Source organism: Homo sapiens, chromosome 18 (genome assembly GCF_000001405.40).
Source record: "Homo sapiens chromosome 18, GRCh38.p14 Primary Assembly".
NCBI classification, from domain to species: Eukaryota; Metazoa; Chordata; class Mammalia; order Primates; family Hominidae; genus Homo; species Homo sapiens.
This window is the reverse complement of record NC_000018.10, coordinates 36,462,216-36,485,465: the sequence shown is the minus strand read 5'-3', so window position 1 is coordinate 36,485,465 and position 23,250 is coordinate 36,462,216. Positions and strand designations below refer to the sequence as shown.

The following is a 23,250-nucleotide window of genomic DNA, read 5'->3' as shown; positions in this document are numbered from 1 at the left end:
AAACCACCACAGGCCCTATGGGTGGGCGCATGCTCACAGGCTTGCTGGCACACCATGCTCACTCTCCCTCCCTCCCTTTCTGAGTGGCTTCATCAATTCACACTGAGGTCTAAGCCAAGGGAGCCTTTGCAAGAAAGACTCGCAACCACAGGCCACTGACAGGAGAAGACAAGGAAAAGAGCATACCATTCTAACACCATGATCACCATGGATCCCAGCAGGCTCATCGCTGGTGGAACTATTTCAGGCAGAGAATGTGAACCAACCTCTGACTGGTACATGATAAGAGCCAGGACATATGGGTGGGGAAAGGGGAACTTAAGATACATTCACAAGAGATGAAGTTCTTGTTGGCTGTGAAGACCTACCACCCATCCACCCCCAAATGCTCAAGTGGCAGCCCCCACACCCCAACTCCTTCCCAGATCATTGTAGAGCAGATAGAAGCACGTGATCACCGGGAATGAAGTTGGCTCGACCACACCCTCTGTGTGGGCCACAATCTTGGTGGCAATTCAGCTGCAGAACCCTGAGGGTGGGGGGCACAGTAACAGACCAGGAACAGGAAGCCAGCCGGGACAGTGCCTTCACTGCCCCAGTGAGTTCTCCCTTAGGCTTCCCCTTCCTCCACACACACCAGAGCCACAGGCATGGAAAATGTCCTCAGTAATCTTTGTGGTCCGACAGCAGGGCCCCAGCCTTCACCACACCCCCTGGGGGGCTGGAGCTTTTCCTGTGTCTACATATGGCCTCAGGAAGAGACATGCACACCCGTCATTATACCATACTTAGAGGCTCCCTCAAACATCGACTGCAGAGAAAGGTGCCATTAGGACTAAACCAAGCACCCAAACTGTTGCTTTGCAAGGAAGCAGAGTTTTGTTTTTTCCTAGTCTGAAAATTATGAGGAGGCCTGTTTTTATATTCTCATTGAGACTTAAGGCTACTAGATTTTTAGTATTATTTCACCAGTTAATACCATATTTAGAGAATATTTAAGCAAAGTCAGCCTAAGTCAGAGAAGCACCTTTAGCATCTCCATGAACCAAAAAGGAATTTCAAGAGCAGCTCCTCCCTGGCCAGTCTGGTATGTGGCATGGGAGAGACATAGGAGTCCACGCACATCCTACCTTCAATTGCAAAGCAGGTCATCGGAGGTTCAGGCTACACATTTTCTGAGACATATATTAAAAGAACTAGACAATTGAACAGAAAAAGATGTCAAGAAGTCAACAAAAGGGAAGCAACAAGTGGCACAGGTTGCCTATATGAAGGAGCCCTCACAGCTAAGAATTATCCACAGCTGGGACTGTCACATAGGATTTTTAAATAGTCTAGCAGAAATACAATAGTTGATGTATGTGATATCTTTAATCGTCTCACACTTGAATGTGCACAGCAATCACCTGGGGAACTTGACAAGAACAGATTTAGCTTCAGCAGATCTGGGGTAGGGCCTGGGATTCCGCATTTCTACCAGACTCACAGTTGGTGTCCCCACAGCTGGTGAATGGTCCTGGGAGGATGCTCAGAGAACCACTGACCTCGGGGCATGTAGTTAACACCTGCAGTGCTTGAAGAGGTGGCCAGTTTGAATGTGAAGGAGTCCATGCCAGGAGTGGCTATTACATGTGCTTCTAATCCTGCTATCGACATCTGCTCCAGAGGGCTCATTAACCAGCATCAGAGATGACAAAATGCTTCTCCGATGGCGAAATGTATGACATTCAAGATATGTCATTGGCCAGAAAGGTTGCAGAGGCACATACATCCACCCTTTAATGACAATCTCTGTACCAGTTCTTCATATGAAAAATGGGTTAATATAAAACCTACCCTGTTCATGTGAAAATACTTGGTAATGTGTTTTACTAGCATTAATTATGGTTTTGTTCACCTTGGAATAAAACATAAAGAGCCAGTGGAGTGCAGACTCCTCTGACATATACACGTTCTTCAATACTCAGTAGATGGATAAAGTAATAGACAGCAATACACAAAAAGATACTGGGCTAGCAAGAGTAAAGAGTGGGTGGGATCTTAGTACCACTTCTTCTCCTTTCCCTCCTTGGTTCCAGGACAGTGGTTGGCTGTGCTGAGTGGAGCATCTGGCTGAGCCCGACTGTGCCTGGGAGCTTTGCCGTCCATCTGTCAGTGCCAACCAACACTGCTCCTGCCTCTCCATCAGCCACACTTTTCTGCTGGCTTAGTCCTGGGCTCAGGACATACCATAAGACCTGGGTCACTTCCAGATTAAGTTACAAAGTAGAATCTTTGTGACTGGCCTTCAAACACCAGAGGTCAAACCATCTGGCAAAATTCCCCAAAATCCCAAATTCTTCCAATCCTCCCACTCACAAAGCAGTCTTCCTGGCTGCTCCAGAGCCAGGATGGGGAGCCTTGGAGCTGCATTTGAAGTGAAGTTCCATCTCTCTTCCCACTATTCTGAGCCCACACAGGCATGGGTCTGGCTGGCTCAGAAAAGATTTCATCATGGCCCTTGGCTATCATTTTTAACTGCAGTTGAGTCATGCATTGTAAACCTGGCAGGTAGTCTACAATGTTCTCGTTCTCTCTCTCTCTCTCTCTCTCTCTCTCTCTCTCTCTGTGTGTGTGTGAGTGTGTGTGTGTGTGTGTGTGTGTTTGTTCACCGGATGATCTCGGAATAGACTCAATTCCATTCAAGTCAAACAAACATTTATTGGACTCCATGAAGTGTGAAAGAAAGATAAAAGACTTGCTCTCAGGGAGTTTGCAAACTAGTGTGAAAGCAATTACACAAAGTATAAGACAGGACAAACCAAAAAGTCCTGGTGACTCTGCTTTGGAGACCCACAGCAGAGGAACCACGGGGTCTGCATCAGTTGCTCAGGGTAGAACCCTGTCGCCAGCCTTCTTGCCTCTCCCTACTATACTCCCAGTCTCATCTGGCAAGGAATCCCACATCCAACCCTTTCTTACTACTGCCCTGGTACACTTCTGGCCTAAGCAATCATGCCTTGCGGGGCGGGGGGGTCACGCAGTGGTCACCCTGCTTCTCCCCTTGTCCTCATATAACCCTGATCCTCCAGATCCTTCTGGGTGAGACTTCCCTGGCTATCTAAAATCTCAGACGTGCACCCAAATATACTCTTCTTTCAGAAGCACGTGTCTGTTTTTCTCTCATAGCACTTATCATTATCACACTATGTATTTTACTGATTTACCTTATGTGCTGTCTCCCCCACTGAAATGTAGGCTCCATAAAAACAGGGATTTGTGTCTGCTTTACACACTGCTGTATCCCCAAGACCTTAAACAGTGACTGACACATAATAGGTAGGGTGAATGAAAGAACCAGTACCCTCCCCCTCCTTCCCTCTTCCTCTTATCTTATGAATAGGGTATTTGAAGTCTGTTTCCACCACCTTCTTTTTTTTATAATTTGAGAGCTTGAAATAATTTTCAGGATCTTTAAGACATAAGGTGTCAGACATACATACCTTCTGCCTAATTCCTTAAAACTCTAACCCATAACAAGCTCCCTTTACATCACTGTTCGGAGTTGAGGAAACATGAATTAATTTGTTCTCACTTTCAACTAGATTAACAGCAGAAGTCACAGTTTCAGAAAGACTGCCTCTGATTCAATAGTGCAAAGACTTTTTTTTTTAAATGGGTAGGAGGCAAAGGAATGTCTTTTAAAATGTCAGCCATGAGAGAAAAATACCTTTGTCTTTGACAGTTTATACAAAAATTGTGTTTAGCCTGCTTCCAACATTAATTCCCATGGTAATAAAAGTCAAATTTTTGTCATTTGTATTTTGTTTATTTCAAGGTGAGACACTATCTCAAAATACCAAGAGAGAAAAATGTCTGCGTGGTATCTGTCCATGGTACCAACGGAACCCAAATGTCCCCGTTTTCAGAACCATGTAAGAAAGCTCTGTTGCAACCAACTTGGGTGGGGAGGGGGTGAAAAGAGAAAGTGGGAAGAAGGGAGGGTGGTGACTGCTATCCTGAAAAAAAAAAAAAAGTTGTCTGCCTTTTCCCCAGCCCCCACTTTACAGCAACTTAAGGAAATTTTGCAATCCCACTAGAAGGACCATATGGTAATACTCCCTTTCTTTTCATTGTCTTCTCCCAAACCCTGCAGTCTTAGGGAGAGTTTTGGCTCACTTGAAGAGCTTGGTCCAAAAGGAGGCCTTTCAAGAGTAGATTATAGCCGCCTGCAGAAATTCCTGAGGCAATTTACTAAGAAAAGAGATGCAAAGAACAAACACAGAAAGCAACAATGACTCCACCGCTCCCCTCCTTCCTTCAGTCCTGTTGCTTTTCTCCTTCAGTGAAAGAGAAAAGCTGAGGGAAATTAAGGTTTATTTCCAACACCAGCTGGAGAATGCCTTATAAGCTTTTTAAAAAATGAGTTATGCTCTTTAAACGCAAAAAAAAAAAAAAAAAAAAAACCACCTCCCAATATGCCCAGCCTGGCCTACAGCACTGCATAAAAAAACTGTGGTTGGAAATGGCCTGAGTTTCCAGAGAACATGAATGCTTTCCTAATGCCATGAAGAAGGAAGTGCTCAAGGCAAGGGAAAAACTGCTGGAATCCCCATTTGGAGACAAAAGCAAGAAGAATGTGGAGGCAACTCATGATGTGGTGATGAACCTTAATTGAGATCATTACTGAAGCCTGCCAATGAACATGCAATACAAATCATTTACTAATATGGAGGTTGGTCTATTCTACTGCACCAGGCTGCTACAAAGAACAAATTAAGGACGAAATGCTATTTACCTGCTACAATTAGTTTTGTACATAATATCTTAGTGACAACAGTGGGCAATATGACTAAAGTTACTCTCCTACGTTTCTAGAGCCTTACAGAAACTGCAAACCTCCAGAACAAAGCTTAAAAAACTGTAAATGGAAAAGGCCTTTGAATAACTAAAATATTTGTCAATGTCAATAATGCCCTTGAAGGTGTAGGCAAGAGCCTCGTGCTGCATGTTCCTAGGTCAGAAGGACTGAAATTGAGTTCACTTTCCCTCTTCTGGGTAGACATTTCAGCTAACCCCAATTTCCCGCTAGCGAAACTTTAGATGGATATTGGACAATGACCATCTCCCTGTATGTGTGCAAATATTTCTGTACAGATTTAAATGTAATTTTTCCATGATTCTAATGTGCCTGGGGAACAGATGCTCCAACACAGCAAATGAAAAGCAGTGGACGAGGCAAGGTGTGGGATGGGCACAGTAGGGGCCCCTGGAGCAGCACTGAGGAGGAAAAGGTATGTGGACACCGGACCTCAGAACTGGCTGAGGCTAAGGGATAAACCGTCTTATACGGGGCTATCAAGGTGCCACTGCATAGAAGCAGGCGAGTTTACAGAAAGTACATTTGCTTAAACCCAGTTTGCAGAATTAATTTGTTTCTCTTTACAATTTACAAAATCTTAACAATTTGGCTGGCTGTAATTGTTTTAACAGCTAGTTCTGCCTAGTTCTGGGTGGCCAGTATTTAGAAATGGTTAATTTGCTTCTGATTCTGCCCCCTGAAGCTGCAGCTGAGGAAGAACTGTGGGAAGAATAGGTTGCAGGAAGAGTGGACCCTTTTCTCAGGGAAAATGCGTGGCAGGGCATCAGTGCCAGCCTACCTGGGCAGTAGCATGGAGGGTAAAGCGGAATGAGACTCGTCAGTCCATTTTACACATTTATGGATCTACTGATTACAGACATTCCCTCCTAAGCTCTTTCCAAACAAAGAAATATATCTAATATATTCACGCTATATAGTCAAAGAGTTCTTAATATATGTCTAAGAATAATGGCTATTCATATTCATCATATATTAATACATTCATTTGGAATATATATATATATATACTTTATAGTACACATTCCTAAAATGGCCCTGAGCAACTGAATGTTCCTTACATGCTACTGTTAGGACAGATGCAAGGCAATTACAATGTGGCAGAAATTTTCAAAAGCTGTAAACTTATGACACTACCAACATAGATGGCTACACACTTAATATTAAGCAAGCAAGGAAATCTGGACAAGTGATCACTGGGCAAAAAGGATGACAGCTCCACTGTATTGCAGCTCACTCCGGGACCCGGGTTTATTATGATGACACAGGAAGGGTTATATTATGAATAGGTTCAGTGTCCTTTAACAAACAAAAAGGCAATGTATAGTACCTGTCAGACTTACACCCAAATCAGATAAACTTCTTTAAATTTTTTCACATTTAAGGCATAATCTTTCATTTTCTTGAGAATTAATTTATGCATGTGGCTCATTCCCATCTCTGTAAAACAGAGGTTACCTACTTTATCTGTAATACATGTGAACAACTGAACAAAACAAAGACACACAGCAATGGCCACTGGAAAGGGACACGCAGGAAGCGAAGAGATGCAAAAGAACCTGGCATGCTTGTTATTTGCACTTGACTATCTGAAGTTGATAAAAGTCCATCAAATCTTGTCTTTTTATACGTTGTATAAGGTATATTTAGAATCCTCTCTTTGATATTTATACTTTGGGTGAGGGGAGAAGAAAATAAGAACTCAAGTCTTAGTCTAGAAGATCAGAATAACAAAGTATCTTCAATAGTTTGAAGGAGTCAGGGGGTGGAGGTGGGGAGGATTGGGGTAGGTAGCAAGAGTTAAGTGTGGAAGATTACCAGGAGTAACTTGGCTGGGACTAATGGGTAACAAAAAGGAGAAGAGAAGATAAATGTAACCGAAAGCCACCAAGCAGTTTTAAGTAGAGAAGTGGGATACAATCCAATGTACCTTTTAGAACAATCACTCTGGCTACATTCAATGTGGAGGTCATTTGGAGGGATTCAAGGTCCTTGATAAATATCTGTAAAGTGGACAGAAGGAGGCAGACCTGTTTAAGAAGAGGCTACATTGGCAGAGGGAGTGGGGATGGTTAATGGGTACAAAAAAAATAGAAAGAATGAGTAAGAGCTAGTATTTGATAGCACAACAAGGGGACTATAGTCAATAATAATTGTATATTTAAAAATAACTAGAAGAGTATGATTGGATTGTTTGTAACACAAAGAATAGATGGTTGAGGTGATAGATACCCCATTTACCATGATGTGATTATGCCTGTATCAAAATATCGCATGTATATCCCATAAATATATACCCCTACTGTGTACTCACAAAACTTAAAAATTATTTTAAAAGTGCTACATTCATCAAAAAAAGATGTGACAATGGCCTGGATTAAGGTATTTTGCCAACATCACAGGTGACAGAAAAGTAGCATTAAAAACCTTTAAATATCTCATTAACACCCAAGCATTACAACAACCAATTACTGCTCACCTTTCAGAACCCTCTGCTCAAATGACACCCCCACTACCATCATTCGCTGCCACCTGAACAGACCCTGCTATCTAAGTTGTCATGTTTTGTCTCCTGGGGCCTCCTGCCTCTCTTTCCAGAGCTCTGTTCTTTCAGTCTGTCAAAATCCTGCCCACCTGTTGAGAGGCATGGAGTGCACATGTTGGGCCAGGACATCTCTGCAGTCCTTTCAGCACTGCATGCCGTGGTTCTTCGTCTTCCCTGACCATCCCAGTCCAGAGACTCTGCCATCTTTGCTCCCTTACTTCCTGTGCCAAGAACCACACCCTGCCAAGTGAGCTCACTGTCTCTGTGTTGCCCACTTGTCATACATTTGTACCTTTAATTGGATTGTAGCATCTCAGGGCTATCAGGGATTTAAGACTTGTACTTTTATGTCTCCCATTAACACCTGGTACAGTACCTAGTCCTAGTACATTCCTTTTATTATTCCATGTATTTTTCCAGAGACTGGTGAGATGATAAATAGATATAGATAGATAGGTAGATAGGTAGGTAGGTAGGTAGGTAGGTAGGTAGGTAGGTAGGTAGGTAGGTAGGTAGGTGGGTGGGTGGGTGGGTGGATGGATGGATGGATGGATGGATGGATGGATGGATGGATGGGTGGGTGAGTGGATTTATATACACACACACATTTTGGCTATTTCCCTGTCACAGGAAAAGTCACTTGACTTCTTGGGTCTCAGTTATCTTCCCTTGAGCTTTAAGCCTAAGATTCAATGAAAAGTGATTAATATTCAATACCAAGCTAATCCCTAATATTTGTTTCATCAGATTATCCCCACTTTATAAACCATCATTGACTCTGTTTCCTGCCCCAGTCTAAATGCTTCCATCCAGCTTCAGGAACTGCACCATCCCAACCTCATCTCCCTCCTGCCCCAACTAAGGAGACAGGTCTGACCACCCTTGTGCACACCCCACAGGTCACCTCCTTCCTCACCTTCTCCTGGATGTCCCTGTCCTCCTCCTTATCTCTCCAAACTGGACACACCTTCAAGGACCTGCCATGAAATCCACCCTCACCAGATAACTCCTGCCCACATGGTCTTCCTCCTCTTGCAGGTCTCACAGCACACCAAGTTGTATCACCCCATTTATTTATGACACTGTATGGCAGTCTTACTGTGTGCAGGTCTTACTTCCTCAATTCATGGTTAGTACTTTTCTGACAAGATCTTCATCCTATGCTTCTTCCATATTCCAGCAGCTCCAAGAACATTCCTTGGTAAAGAAAGTGCTCAAAGAGTCCCTTGGCTTAACTGACCTTCATGCCCCCACACTGAATTGACTATACCCAGTTTGGATCTTTACACTTAAGAACAGTTGATGTGGGGAGGAAGAAAGGTCAAGAGATTGCTTTCCTTTGATGTATAATTCAATTTGCTTCCAGATTCCTAATTTTTCCCATGACTTGCTTTGAAGTAGCTAATCGACATGAAATTACTGCCTTTGATCGTGAGGATTCAGTGACTCATACTGGCTTAAGAGCTGACTTCAACATAATGAGCACTGAGTATCCTACGGCCCTTTCCTGACTATGGGGGGCCAAAAGACAGAGAACTTGCACCCACAGGTCTTAGGGTGATGGGATGCCTTCCCCGCCTCCCAGCTCACTCTTTCACTCTGCTGCCCTGCCTGCCCTCTGTGGGCATGAGGAGCTCGCCTGGTGCAGCCTAACAGGCCCCATCCCACAGTCCTGAACCCTGTAGCCAAGGGATGTAAGTTGGTAGAATAAAGAGATTCCTTCCTGCCTTCTGCTGGCATCACCTTCCATGCCCCTGGGAAAGATGGTCCTGCTTCTCAGGCCCTCTGACAGCCTGTGAGACGCTCCTTACAGCAGCACCCAGCGGAACAGGAGCTGTCGCAGCCAGCAAAACCATATGCCATGGGAGGCCAGGCACCACAACCAGGGCACTTCAGCATCCTTGGGACGCACTCAGCACTGTGCCTGTCAAAAAACAGGGCTCAGCAGAGGAGTAATAGGTTGATGGAATGAATGAGTAAACAAATGAACAAGCTTCATAAATTCAATATAATAATAATCACTATATTAGTGAAATGCTTTTAAAAATACATTTCTTGACCAATCTTTGGGTCATATTTTTCCTAAAATACCTAGTAATTGTACATTTTGTCAACATTTTTTACAGCTCATAGGTTTTAGATAACATTTTCTAGAGCATTAGTTTATATGTGTAGCTGTTCTTGATTACAAAAGCAATTCATTCGCACTGTGAAAAAATGCTGCAATTTACAAAAAAAAAGAATTACAATTATATATGTATGTATGCGTGTGTGTGTGTGTGTGTGTGTGTGTGTGTGTGTGTGTGTGTGTATGTTTCTATATATGAAGTAAAAGTCTCCTGTAATCCCACCTCTATAGATTTTGGTATACATTGCTCTATTTGTTAAATGAATAAATTAACATCATATATACATTTAAACTAAGCAGCATGAGTAACAGTTTCTGTACCTAATTATTTTAGGGAATGTTTCTCAGAAATTGCTTTATTGGTCTTGATTTTGATGGCAAGTCCTTCCCATTAGAATTCTCAATTTCTTTTGTGTTTATTGACCACCACACCCCACCTCCCACCCCGCACCCAACCCCTCCACGAGGAGATTCAGACTGCTTGAACTACCTATTTAAAAAGACAGCAGCCAGTGAGGAATGGCAGTCACAGCAAACAATAACCCTGGTGGAGATCTCCAAAGGAATCACAGGATGGCCAAAAATGCCAGCAGCCAAACTACAGGGTCCTTCAGGACACCATCTCTGCATGTAGGTTAGCCATTAGAGTGACACCAAGCTGCTAAGAGCTCCAAAGACAGGTGAGCACCCAAGTCCATCAAAACAAGGGGAAAAGCCACATCTGGGCTGACTGGGGAGATGAACCACCTGTGGGCTTCTGGGGTAGGCAGTAACACTGCCAGGAAATGCACAACCTTCCTCTCGTCCTGCAAGTCAGAACACTTTACAGATAAAACAAGCCAAGAAAGAAATAGTCCAAGCTCTTCTGTTCTCCAAGTAGAAGGCATTAAATTTTGCAGAGTGTGTGTGTGTGTGTGTGTGTGTGTGTGTGTGTGTGTGTGTGTGTGTATGTGTGTATTTTCAACCTCTTCAAAAGACCCTGAAAACTAGCTGAGCCCAAAACTAGCGAAAAGTCACCTGTACCCCAGGCAGCTTTGACTTCAGCTTAAAGGGAAACCGGCCAAACTTTCAAAAGTCCAGAGGGCTCATTCCAGCCAGAGGGCCCCAGGCCTCAGGAATTTACTCCCAGCCATGGCCAAGGGGCTTCTTGGCTCTGTGAACCGCTCCTGCCCCAGGAGCTCAGGCTGCATCAGTCTAACGCAAAGGTGATCTAAGAGGTGTGGTTGTTGAACCAACTGAGCCAGACCCTAGCCACCCATGTTTCTTCCGTGGGGTTTCCAAGGCTTGCCGCCACCCTACCTCACTCTGTATCCCACCACTCCTCAAATATGGACCTTTCCAGTTTCGGCCCTCCTGATCCCTCCTTTGATTCCAGGGACTGCCAGGCTCTAAGCCTCCAGCTGCAGGGAAACAGCTCTAGCCCTCAGTTTGCAGTTTGCCTCCAACTCTAAAAACTCAACATCACAACTGTTAGAGCATGGCCCAAACAGAAGCCAGATAGGACAAGAACCATCTTTAAAGTATTTGCCAAAATCTATAGATGTAGCATTGATGTCCAAATCCTTATTCTCTCCCTTCCATTCCATACTGCCACCATCATGCGCATATCCCTCCTGCAGGCACTGAACCAACTTATGGGACAAAAAGAAGAGAGCCATGTTCCTGTGCACGTGGTGGAGGAGTCAGTAAAATAAAAGGACAGGAAAATCTTTTGGAGTCTACTTGTCCCTGGTTTGTAACATCAACCCCAAATCAAGATACTTTAAGGATCTGAGTCCCTTCCAGGTCTTCTTACTGTTCTATGATGCATAAGTAGTAGAAGGAATGTTGTTTTCTAAATTCCAACTTAAACTGTTCAAGGTCAATGGAAGAAGAAAGTCAGGAGTAAAAGAATCAACTACTTAGAGAACCTGGATGTCACTGCCATATGAGCATATCCTACAGGAAGGGTGGGATGTGGGATCAGCAATGCTGGGATCAGATATGTTTCCCCAAACAGGTTCCAAGTATATTACTAATACCCAAGGATGCTTCCCAAAAAGTGTGTTCAGGAGTGAAAAGCCTCCTTTGCCAAGGCATTCTCAAAGCCAATGATATATTCCTATGGAAATGTTGCAGATTAAGCACAACTGGCACAGGGGACCTGAAGGCTTAGTAACATACTCTGAGAATGATGAAAGATGATGTGAAAATATCTTCCTTTCAGTTTCTTTTCTTACACTGAGTCAGTGTGGAAAAGCTGGTGTCTCCATATCTCATGTTTTGATGCAGTGAGGAAGTTATTGGAAGTTATTAATATTTTATAGAAAAATGCATTCTGAACATGTTCAGAAGTGATACTGAGGAATAAAAATTCCCCTCAACTTGAAATTGGGAATCAGGGCTCTAGCCCTAGCTGTGTGACTCACTAGCAGTTCTCAAACTTCAATGAGTTAACTCATCACCCAGGGATCAGGAATTGGGTGACAAATGTAGGTTCTGATTCAGCAGGTCTCAGGTGCTGCATTTCGTTTGTTTGTTTGAGATGGAGTCTCACTCTGTCACCCAGGCTGGAGTGCAGTGGCACAATCTTGGCTCACTGCAACCTCCACCTCCTGGGTTCAAGCAATTCTCCTGCCTTAGCCTCCTGAGCAGCTGGGATCACAGGCGTGTGCCACCATACTCAGCTAATTTTTGTATTTTTAGTAGAGACAGGGTTTCACCATGTTGGCCAGGCTGGTCTCGAACTCCTGACCTCAGGTGACTGCCAGCCTCGGCCTCCCAAAGTGCTGGGATTACGGACAGGTGGTGCATTTCTAACAAGCTCCCAGGAGAAGCTGGTGGTGCTGGCCCAAGGACCACACATGGAGTAGCCAAGATTAAAACATCTCATTTCATTTCACTGGGCTTGTGTTTTGCCTTCAAATGAAGGAGGCTAAGGATGGGCTTTGGTCATGTCAAAGGAGCTGTTGTAGAATCTTACCTGTTGTAAAATTCTACCTCTTTGGAGTGGATGCAAAGTGCTCACAACAATCACATGCAGACAGCACAGTGGTTCAAATTCCAGCTCTTTATGCCCCTTCAATGTTCACAGCAGTGTTATAATAGCCAAAAAGTGGAAACAACCCAAATGTCCATCAACTGATGAATGGATAGATGCAATGTGGCATATACATGCACTGGAAAATTACACAGCAGTAGAAAAAAAGAAGTATTGATACATGTTACAACATGGATGAAGCTGAAAAAACACTATGTTAAGTGGAAGAAGCCGGTCCCAAAAGACCACATATTATATGATTCTGTATATATGAATTGTCCAGCACAGGCAAAAGCACAGAGACAGAAGTAGATCAGTGGCTACCTAGGGCTGGGGAGGAAAAGATGGGGATGAGGAGTGACTGCTAGTGGGTATAAGGTTTTTATTTGGGGTGATGAAAATGTTCTGGAATTAGATACTGGCAATGGCTGCAAAATTTGGTGAATCTACTAAAAACCACTGAATTGCACACTTTAAAAGGGAGAATTTTATGGTATGTAAATTATATCTCAATAAGCTGTTTAAAAATTCTAGCTCCTTCACATGTTAAATATTTGATCTTAGACAAATTGGTTTTTTCTCATCCATAAAACAGGGATGACACAGGAGTATTCTACAAGGGACTATTGTGAGAGAGAGGTTGCCATTACCCTAACAGGCTTCCTCACACAAAGCCTTCAGAAGTATTCATCGAAAACACCACCAGATGCTAATTCATACTCGAAAGTTTATAAAAGCTGCATCTTAATAGAAATCATGTAGGCCAAGTAACTTATATATTTAAGATTACAGCAAAGTATGCACTATGGAGAAGTGGAATTTGCAATTAATATTCTTTTCAGTTTTGGTTAGAGACTTCCATTTTTTCAAGCAACATCATTATCTGAGTTTGAGGATTTTATCCTCTCAGCCAGTATTTGCTGACTTTAACCCTGGGAACTAAAATGGTTGGAAATAACAATTGGTTCTCCATCTGGATTGGATTCTTTCACAGGTATTTTGTCATTGCCCACAAACACTATGAAAATCATTACTCATATCATCTCGTTTATGTGAAACGTCCCCGGGATAGAAACAAAATTGTGCCCTGGAAGCTGCTTCCCTGAAACAAAAAACCTTTCCGCGTGCTGCAAAGAAAGTATCACTTATTCTGTGGATAGACAGACAAGCATTTGTGTGAGTAGCAGAAAACCAACTACCTTTAAACAGGGTCATTTTCCCACAGGGAAGTTCTCTTTTACTGTCTTTGCCCTGGTGATTCTAATTTCCTACACCAAAACCTCAAGAAGAACTTTCCGAAGTCAGCACTCTGGACAAAAGGAGTCTTTGCTTGGAGAAGTGCTGAATAGACCATTGTTCTGATCCTAATTGCCTGGACTTCTCTTTGTTCTAAGTGAGCCCAGTACTCAGGAGAAGTCCAGGGGCCACCAGGGCAGGGCAGTCGATCGACAACCACTTGCTGTGGACACAGGGTGACCAAGGAAAACAAAGGGGTGATATCCACGCATAACAATTTTGAAGCCTTCTGGGAGGAGGTGTAGCCTCAGGAAACCTTGAGAAAGCAGACAGTAAAGCAGGATGCAAGCTGGCTCGGGTCAGGCAGGACCCAGAGCTGGGGTGTGGGGCCTCAGGGAGAGACTGCACCTCAGAGAGGTGGCAGCATGGTGTTCACCAGCTCAGGACACTCCTATCAGCATTCACATGGCACGGGCTCATGCTCCTCTGCTTTGTGGGCTGGGCAGAGTACCAGGAGGAGCATCCTCATCTTCCCAAATGCACGCCCTCTCCAAAGCGCATACCCGCTGCCTTTTGTTTTAGGGCACAGCTGCATTTGCATCATTAACTCTGGGACACTGCGATCCCTGAGCCATGTGGGAGTAATTGTGGGCGTTCAAAGCCAGGAATGAAAGCCCTGAGGTCTCTGCTCTAGAGGAGTAAAGCAGGCCACCCACACAGGTGCCATCATGTCCCAGTTCAGCTGGGAGCAAAGACCCCACGGAAGGCACCATCAGTCCAGGGGCGAAGCTGCGGGTTACTTACCATTAACTCACCATTGCTGCCACCTGCCAGGCTCCCTGTCTGTTATTTCATTTCCAATTCCATTGCCTCAACCTTTTTATCCCTTATTGCCAGTGAGGACTTCAATATCCCAGCGCGGAGCGGGAATCTGAGCTGAGCCTGAACTAAATTTGTCTGCTTTTTGCCCCCCAGAGGCAGAGTGGCTACTATCATTTTGCTCACCAGGGAACAAACAAAGCCAATGATTGGATCCAGTATCTGTAAAGACTATCAAGCTCCATACCAGCTAAAACTCTATTAGAACGATACAATTACACACATATTGTATAATTATACAACCATATAGGTTTTAGTGAGCACAAGGACGTGAGAAAGTCCTATTAGGGAGAACTCTGGTGTATCCTATTCCACTCCCTCCCCCAGTTCCATGCCAAATCTTGGCTTCAGAAACATCTCAACAAAGCTCTCCTGTCACTACAAGACAACCGTCATAGACGTGAACGGTAAAATCCTTTGCCTCTGAGCTAATCCAGTTCCTTCACATTACATCTGGGGAAACTGAGGCCAGGGAGACTATAGGACACTCATTCATGTCACTAATATTTATTGAGCATCTTCTGTGTGATAGGCATCTATTCAGCATTGGGCAGACAATGGTGAGCAAAACCGGATGGGGGTCTGCTCAGTACAGAAGAGAAACCCCCCGGAGGCCTCCAGACTTCACAAGGGTATGCTAACTGCCACGTTCCTAGGACCTGCTCCAGAGGACAAGGCAGCCCAGGCATGGCCCCTGCCTGCCTCGGGCACCCCGCTCTCCTACCATCTGGAATTCCTGCCAGCTCTCTGCTACAGAATTTCCCCATGAACCAATTTCCTAAACTTCTAGGTCAGCCTCTTGATGAAGAACAGGAACCGGTTTTCCAAAGACTCCTTCCCACACATATGCATTCCATAATTACATAGATCAGGACACAAGGGGAACTATGCATGAACGTGGCTTGATTTGTGGAAATAATAATGCTTATCCTGGCTTAGCCACAGAGGACTGGAGCTTCCCCCGCAGACCCCGCCGCCACCCCCTTAACCCTCCAACAACTTTCCTAGGGCTTGCTAGCGCCCACAACTCCGGAACAACTTTGAACGCCCTTAAATCCTGGTCAGAGCACCAGCTGGTTTCACATTGAGATCCAACCAAAGGTGATGAGGCCTCACAACCCCCTGCCGAGCCTGACATGCCTGCCAAGTTATTTTTGTGCCAGCATCAGCTGCCTCTTGGTCGAGTGATAGCTGATGTCAAAGGGTTTGATTTCTGAGAGCTTATGAAGCAGTTGGGTTTTCATGTCCTAAACATGCCACTTTGGAACTCCCACTACCAAAGGATAATATGGTGAATACCTTGAAGAGAGCCCAGCCAGCCTGCTGTACATGGGATCAGGGGAGCAACAAATGCTCTGCAGCCCCCACCCCACCTCCCAGTTGGAGCACCGGGCAGGACAACTGTCTACACTGCAGTGGGCAGCTCGGCGATAAAAGCTACAAACTTGGCCTAGGATCTCTGAGTGTGGTTTACACGTGCCCCTTAATTTGTACCCAAATCCACCATAGGGGATATGTCTCCTTAAGTTTCATAAAGAAGGAGTAAACAGTAATCATCTGGCCCTGAGAGGGTCAATATTTGCTTATTGTGTATAGCTCTATACCTGGTGATAGGATGGGGGCTGGGGTTTAGGATGAAGAGGGTATATGTAAAACAGAAAATTACACCCCTGTTCTCAACAGGCATCACAGTGGTCACAGTTCTAAGGGGAAAGACCCCCAAGTATGGCAAGGGAAACTTCCTAATCAAGACTTGTATTACTCAGTTTCCTTCCTAGCTCTTGTCATAATTTGAAACTGACACAAGTGTTTGCTTGTTTACTTGTTAACTGTCCGACTCCTCTCCTTCCCTGAGCCCCAGGAAGGCTCAGCCTTGTCTGTTGTATTTTCCAGACCTGCCGCCTCAAAGGTTCTCAGTGTCTGTCGGTGGGATTACCATTGCCTGCACCCTTGCTAGCTCTCAGCTGGAGGTGGCTTGCACTCCCAGGTGTGGAGCAGAGGCTCACAAGGTGGCAGCCACAGCAGGGCCTGGGGTGGTGGCAGAAGGAAACCTGTGGGAAAGGCAGAAGATCTGGGGTTGGACTGAGCTCTGCCACCAACCTCCAAGTGGCCCCTTCACATCTCAAAGCCACAAATTCCTCCCCCTCTAAAGTACTAGGGGTGGATGGAGGTAAAAGCCAGGATCACTAAAATCCCACTGCCCCTGAAATTCCCTGATTGATTTGCTCAGGCTGGCACTCACCTTCCCTTCCACTGGCTCACACCCACAGGGCACAGCCAGAAGGAGCTCCGGGCAGCTCCCTCGCCCACGGCAGACTCCTGTGGCCTGTCTCCAGAGCCCCAGCTGTGCATTCCGGTGTTGCTGCCCCTATCTTATCACCCTCTTCTTTCTCCACCACCTCCGCCTTCCCTGTCCCCAGCTGACATCCCTGGCCATCTGGGCCCTTATCACCACGTCTAGCTGGCTATTCTTAGTGCCACATTTTTCCGTAACAGCCTTGTCCTCCAGGCAGCATTACCCAGGCGAGGGGAGAGGTAGCCACTTATCCCTATGGCTTCGGCACTGCAGAGTCATTAAGGTGGAAGGCACATCAGAGACCAGCCAGCAGCCTGGGTCCCTGTGGGGATGCACCTGGCTGCCACCAGGTCAGCATTCGACCCTTGCTTGTTCTCACTGCCTTTCTTCCCCTCTCGGCTCCCAGAAGCTTCGCATGGGAGCACCTGACTTCAGGCCACAATAGAGTGGAAGTGGGAAGTACATGGGAACCCCAGGGGCCACCCAACTATCCTGCTGTGCGGACAGACCTACCGTCTGCCTTCAGACTGTGCAAATCATTTGGGCTTTCTTGGCATTTCGTTTCTTAACATTTGGACCCACTTCTCGAGGTCTGCAGTGCAGGCACCCGTGCCACAGGCAGCACTTACCCGCAGAACGCCTGGAGCCACCTCTGCCCAAAGCACAGGAGCATTCATGTCGAGGGTTGAATGTTAAATAAACAGAGCCCATCTCTGTGGCAGGGCAACGCCCACCCCACAGTGCAAAGGCCAGCCCTAAGCACTGCTAGGATGCCGTGTGTGTGCCAAGCACTTCACACTTGCTCTTCAACGGTCCTAGGGTAGGGAAGGGTGTTTTCTTGGTTTTATAAACAAGCAAATGAGGTTAGAAAGCTCATGTGACCTTTCACCCAGCTCTCACCTGAGCTGGGATTTGAGTCCAGGCAGTCAAGGGATTTGCCCTTGACCCCCTTCGCTCCCTCACAGCACCCTCCTGGAGTGACGCTGGCGCAGGCTAGACCAATCTCTTGCCTCTGCCCTGGAAGGGAAGAAGGGGACCCCAAGCTGGAGAGCTTCTAGGGTAACCACAAGGTGGTATTAATGGCTATGTGGCATGCCTGGATGGTTCGCTCTCCCTCAGGAATACAGGGTTGGAAGGAGAGGACACTTCTAGCTTTAAAATGTTGAAGATGTTCTTCACACAATGGCTTTCTAACTTCTCCAGAAGAAAAATTATGCCATGGAGGGGCTGACAGTCTGTCAGAATTACTAGGAGGTGACTGGAAGAGAACAAATGAAAACCAAGGAGGGCATGTGAGGCTCCTAAGACGAAGGTGAAGGGTGGTGTGCTCGGCTCTTACCTTCCCAGGGTCTCTCGCAAGGAGTGCACCATCCTGTCCACCTGCTGTAAAGAGCTGGAGACTCGCTGGTCAGCAGGAGCAGTCAGGGCCTGAAGAAACCAGCCCACAGCTGGTGTCCAAACTGAGATGGGGCAGGGATCCCCTCTTAGGGGCCTGCAGGTCCCCCCAAACATAAGTTTTTTAAAATCTAGGGTCCCTTAAAGGGGAATTCCAGGTACCTACCTAGCCTTGAGAAGTTAATAAGCAACTTGGTAAACAAGGTAATAGTAGCCTAAAACAATAGCCAAAAAAAAAAAAGCTAAAATCACAAAACGTTTGGTTCCCCTCTAAAAACTAAAGATAACATCTTACTTAACGTATGTCTCTGAGTTGTTTTTCAGAAACTCTGACTCCCACCAAATGGACCTGCCAGCACACAGACCTCAGATAAGGAGGCTGACCTCTCACCACCATTCTTATTCTAAATTTCTTCCTGAGGGGCCTGGAGAAAGACCCACCCATGAGGTGCAGCTAACATTCTTTTCTGCTGACCCCAAGTTTTTAAACAAAGTTTCCCTTCTTTAACCAATTGCAAATCAGAAAATCTTTAAATCTACCAATGATCTATAAGCCCTCTGCCTCAAGATATTCCCCCCATTTAAAAGCCCAAAACCAACGTGTAACCTCCATGTATTATTGATTTATGATTTTGCCTGTAACTTCTGCTTTCCTAAAATATACCCCTGCCTTTAAAAGCCCTGACCTTCAAGCCATGGAGGAGGTCAGCATTTGAGCAACAGCTGCCTAGTCCTCCTTGCTTGTCTCCTGCAGAGAAATATCTCCCCTTCTCCTGCTGCAAACCTCAGTATAGATACCTGTCTTATTGAGCCAGATGAGTGGAATCCCATTTGGTTTCATAGCGAAACCCAGACAAGGGCTCACTGAGGACTTGAATGCAAATTCACCCATTTTCAGCAAGTCATGTCTCTGCGGGATAGCCTGAGAGTCTCCCTCCCTCTGGGATAACATGGACTGAAGTCATTCACCCTGGGGTATGGGCAGCTCTCTGCAGGAGAGTAACATGTATTTATTTATTCAGTAATGTCAGGATCACATGAGATTTGTATGCATTGGGGGTGGGTGAGAGGGCAGAGAGGGGAAAAGGGCATACAAGGAGGTGAGAAAGCCGGATTGTGGTCAAGCTACTTCAAGGACTTGCTCCAATTTTATGCTTTAGAATTGAGGTCAGATCTAATCTCAGACTCAGTCTGAGTAGGCGAAATGTCCCTATGCATTAAGAAGAGGGAGGAGAATCTAAGGTTAATGTAATTTAGAAGGATTTAGATTAGAGAAGGAAAAACCACCTCTCTCTGCCATGACCCTCATGGCAAGCAGTACAAATTGAACCCACCACGCCCACACACAGCCTCAGATCACCCTAAACACAGCATTTCAGAAATCTAGTATCAATCAATAGGCTTGGTCCTTGAAAGAAAACCTACTTAGGATCCTTGGTTTAAGTCAATGTGTGGGTGATCAATCTCTCACAAATGTCTGATGAACCTAGAATCATTAGGAAGCCATCAGCCAAGCCTTCCACCATCACACCCCTGGAAGCAGTGTCAGGGAGGAGCAATGGGCTAGAAAAGCCTTCCACAAGGGCGGGTGGGCAGCACTGCCCCTCCTGTACCAACCCCTGGCTCCCACCCCTGCGCTTTGCAGAAGCCAGCCCAGGCCACAGCCTCAGCCCTCGCCAGTCCAGGCCCAGGTCATTTCGGACCCATGGTTCTGGAGGCAGCCACGAACATCATTGCTTGTGCTCCTCTTAGGGTATGAGATCCGTGTCTAATTGTTTTTTTTGTTTGTTTGTTTGCTCTGTCACCCAGGCTGGAGTGCAATTGCATGATCTCAGCTCACTGCAACTTCCGCCTCCCGAGTTCAAGCAATTCTCCTGTCTCAGCCTCCTGAGTAGCTGGAATTACAGGTGCCCGCCACCATGCCCAGCTAATTTTTGTATTTTTAGTAGAGATGGGGTTTCACCATGTTGGCCAGGCTGGTCTCGAACTCTTGTCCTGAAGTGATCCGCCCTCCTCAGCCTCCCAAAGTGCTGGGATTACAGGCGTGAGCCACAGCGCCCAGCCATGTCTAACTTTTTGCCTAAGATTGTCATACCAATTTTTATATTTCTATTTTACTATTATTTAAAAAGTTGTAAACATCCCATGGCAGTTTGCCTGCGTGTGTGTGTGTGTGTCACAGAAAAAGATAGTCGGACACTGAAGGGCAGCTATCCCTGTGTGTTTTGGGGCCTATGGTACACAAGAAAGAAGGAAGAAAGAGGGGGGAGAGACAGAGGGTGGGAGCAAGAAGAGTGCTGAAAGATGAGTCTTTGTTCTTATTTCCTCTGAAACCAACCCTCTCCTCCTCCTCCCAGGACCTCCCTCCCCCTTTGCCTCCTCCTGGGCCTCCTTCCCTCCTAAGGACCCAGCCTGGTCTCCCTCTCTGACTGTGTCTCTGGCACTCCCTCTCTTTCTCCACTTGCACACAGATCCTTTCCCCTTCTGTAAGTTATCACATTGGCAGTCACCAAAGGAAAAGAAGTGCAATGTCTCTTAAGTGTTAGTTGATGGAATTTTTATCTTCTTGACCCAAGTTTCCTTGACTGGGCTTGACTCACTCCACAGGAGCCAATCCATCCCTGGCCTGAGCCTCCTGGGTGCTGGAGTCCAAGCTGTATGGCAGCATCACCCAGTACAAAGCATACCAAGCCTTAGAAGTATCCAGAGGTCTGCCCCGCTGCACATCTCAAATAGCAGTAAGCATTTTCTGGAATAATTTTAAGGGCAGCAAAATGTCCTTAGGAACTGCTCAAACGTTACTAATGAAAGGAATGTTTATTGCTCTAACTGACTTGTCCTTTGCTAATCCCTTCACCAGATACCTTTTATCAGAGAGGCATGCAGTTCATTTCTTCGACACGTCAATATTGACACAATCATCTGAAAACTCAAGTGCAGTGGCATGTTTCCCAAAAGAATTATCAACCTGGCCACAGATACGGTCCAAGTTGAATGTCAGCTATTGGAAGCATAAGGCTCTTCTGACTAAATAGAATTAAAGATGGTTGCTTTCTCCTATTTAATCTCATTGCAAAAACTACTTGTTCTATTATTGAGAACAATTCTAGCAATATTTTTGAGCTTAAGAAGCTATTTTCTGAATCAATCTTATGTTTGAGTATTTTATTATTTAACAGCAACCCAAATAAGAAAAAAAAGTTTTAAAGAAAAATAATTAGATTTTAATTTCTCCAACTTCTAGTGTCTCCTAAGCTTAAAAACACGAAGAAAGCACTGAGAACATTTATATTTTCTGCAAATAAATTGGCACTTGGGCCAGGTATGGTGGCTCATGCCTGTAATCCCAGCACTGGGAGGCTAAGGCGGGCAGATTGCTTAAGCACAGGAGTTCGAGAACAGCCTGGGCAACATGGTGAAACCCTATCTCTACAGAAAATACAAAAATTAGCTGGGCATGGTGGTGCACACCTGTAGTCCCAGCTCAGGAGGCTGAGGTGGGATGATTGCTTGAGGCAGGGAGACAGAGGTTGCAGTAAGCCGAGATAACACCACTGCACTCCAGCCTGGGGCGACATGGCAAGATTCTGTCTCAAAAAATATATATATTTTTTAAATAAACAAAAAAAATTTTTAAATAAACAAAAATATTTTTTAAATAAAAAATATATTTTTTAAATAAAAATATATATTATTTTTTTAAATAAAAATATATATTATTTTTTTAAATAAAAATATATATTATTTTTTTAAATAAAAATATATATTATTTTTTTAAATAAAAATATATATTACATATATATATTTTAGTGGCACTTGGGTTAAATGCTTGTCACAGCCTACAAGGTTTTCAGAAAATAATTCCTATTTATTCAATTCTAAATGAACAGAGATAATGGAAATGGAAGACAACCACCTAACTAATTTGGATTTTACTAAAATTTTAAATCTAAATTAGTTAATATGTGGTGATAAAATTCCCATTAACATAGTTGTCAATCTTTTAAAAAGTTGAGAAATCATGGAAATCAGAGTTGCAATGGGTTGGTATACAACTGGAGACATTACTATTTATTGCTAGACATTACTATTTGTCTTTAAACTACTGAGAAACTTCTAGATTCAGTAATTTCATATAAATTATTTTAGCCATCCAATACATCAAGATCAGATAAGTGGGTTGGGTACATAGCTCACATCTCATATCTATAATCCCAGCATTTTGGGAGGTCAAGGCAGTCAGATCACTTGAGCCAGGAGTTCAAGATTAATCGGGGCAATATAGGTAGATCCCATCTCTATGAAATATATTTAAAAATTAGCTGCAAATAGTGGCACACACGAGTAGCCCTAGCTACACAGGTGGTTGAGGCAAGAGGTTCACTTGTGCTTAGGAGTTCAAGGTTGCAGTAAGCTATGATCACACAGAAAGCTATGATTGCACCACTGCACTCTAGCTTGGGTGACAGAGCAAGACCCTGTCTAAAAAACAAACAAACAGCCTGTAATCCTAGCACTTTGGGATGCCGAGGCAGGCGATCACAAGCTCAGGAGATTGAGACCATCCTTGCTAACACAGTGAAACCCCATCTCTACTAAAAACACAAAAAATTAGCTGGGCGTGGTGGCAGGATCCTGTAGTCCCAGCTACTCAGGAGGCTGAAGCAGAAGAATGGCGTGAACCCAGGAGGCAGAGCTTGCAGTGAGCCGAGATAGCACCACTGCACTCCAGCCTGGGCAACAGAGCGAGACTCTGTCTCAAAAACAACCAACCAACCAACCAAAAAGCAAAACAAAACAAACACACACACACACACACACGAGAGAACTGAAGGAAGGTAGCTGGAGGGAAAGCTACTTGCATTCAAACTGGCTTCACCAAAGCCACAAGGAT

General features: G+C 44.9%; 1 protein-coding gene across 45 annotated transcripts in view, besides 3 other annotated features; it reads right to left on the bottom strand.

Annotated features, from left to right (window-relative positions):
• The window catches only part of FHOD3 (formin homology 2 domain containing 3), a 482,508-nt gene that overhangs the window by 294,755 nt on the left and 164,503 nt on the right, over window positions 1-23,250 (bottom strand). Inside the window, exon 1 of one of the 45 annotated variants that reach the window (XM_017026007.2) lies at window positions 17,591-17,687. The exons of 43 other annotated variants lie outside the window; for them this stretch is intronic. In XM_017026007.2, coding sequence (XP_016881496.1) covers window positions 17,591-17,672 — 82 coding nt within the window. In that variant the 5' untranslated portion in view covers window positions 17,673-17,687. Of the gene's footprint in view, window positions 1-16,907; window positions 17,014-17,590; window positions 17,688-23,250 lie in introns of those variants that run through there. One more of the 45 variants, XM_047437847.1, reaches the window with a different exon arrangement.
• Window positions 11,767-11,816: an enhancer, noted in NCBI's record as "active region_13237". NCBI's record gives its function as "activates an Ori minimal core promoter by ATAC-STARR-seq in GM12878 lymphoblastoid cells {active_cell/tissue: GM12878}" and the evidence as "EXISTENCE:reporter gene assay evidence [ECO:0000049][PMID:35858748]".
• Window positions 14,243-14,799: an enhancer, noted in NCBI's record as "H3K27ac-H3K4me1 hESC enhancer chr18:34050630-34051186 (GRCh37/hg19 assembly coordinates)". NCBI's record gives its function as "activates a minimal SCP1, AML or CMV promoter by ChIP-STARR-seq in naive H9 embryonic stem cells {active_cell/tissue: H9 hESC(naive)}" and the evidence as "EXISTENCE:reporter gene assay evidence [ECO:0000049][PMID:30033119]".
• Window positions 20,994-21,194: a silencer, noted in NCBI's record as "peak3117 fragment used in MPRA reporter construct". NCBI's record gives its function as "represses an SCP1 promoter by STARR-seq MPRAs in K562 erythroleukemia cells {active_cell/tissue: K562}" and the evidence as "EXISTENCE:reporter gene assay evidence [ECO:0000049][PMID:32103011]".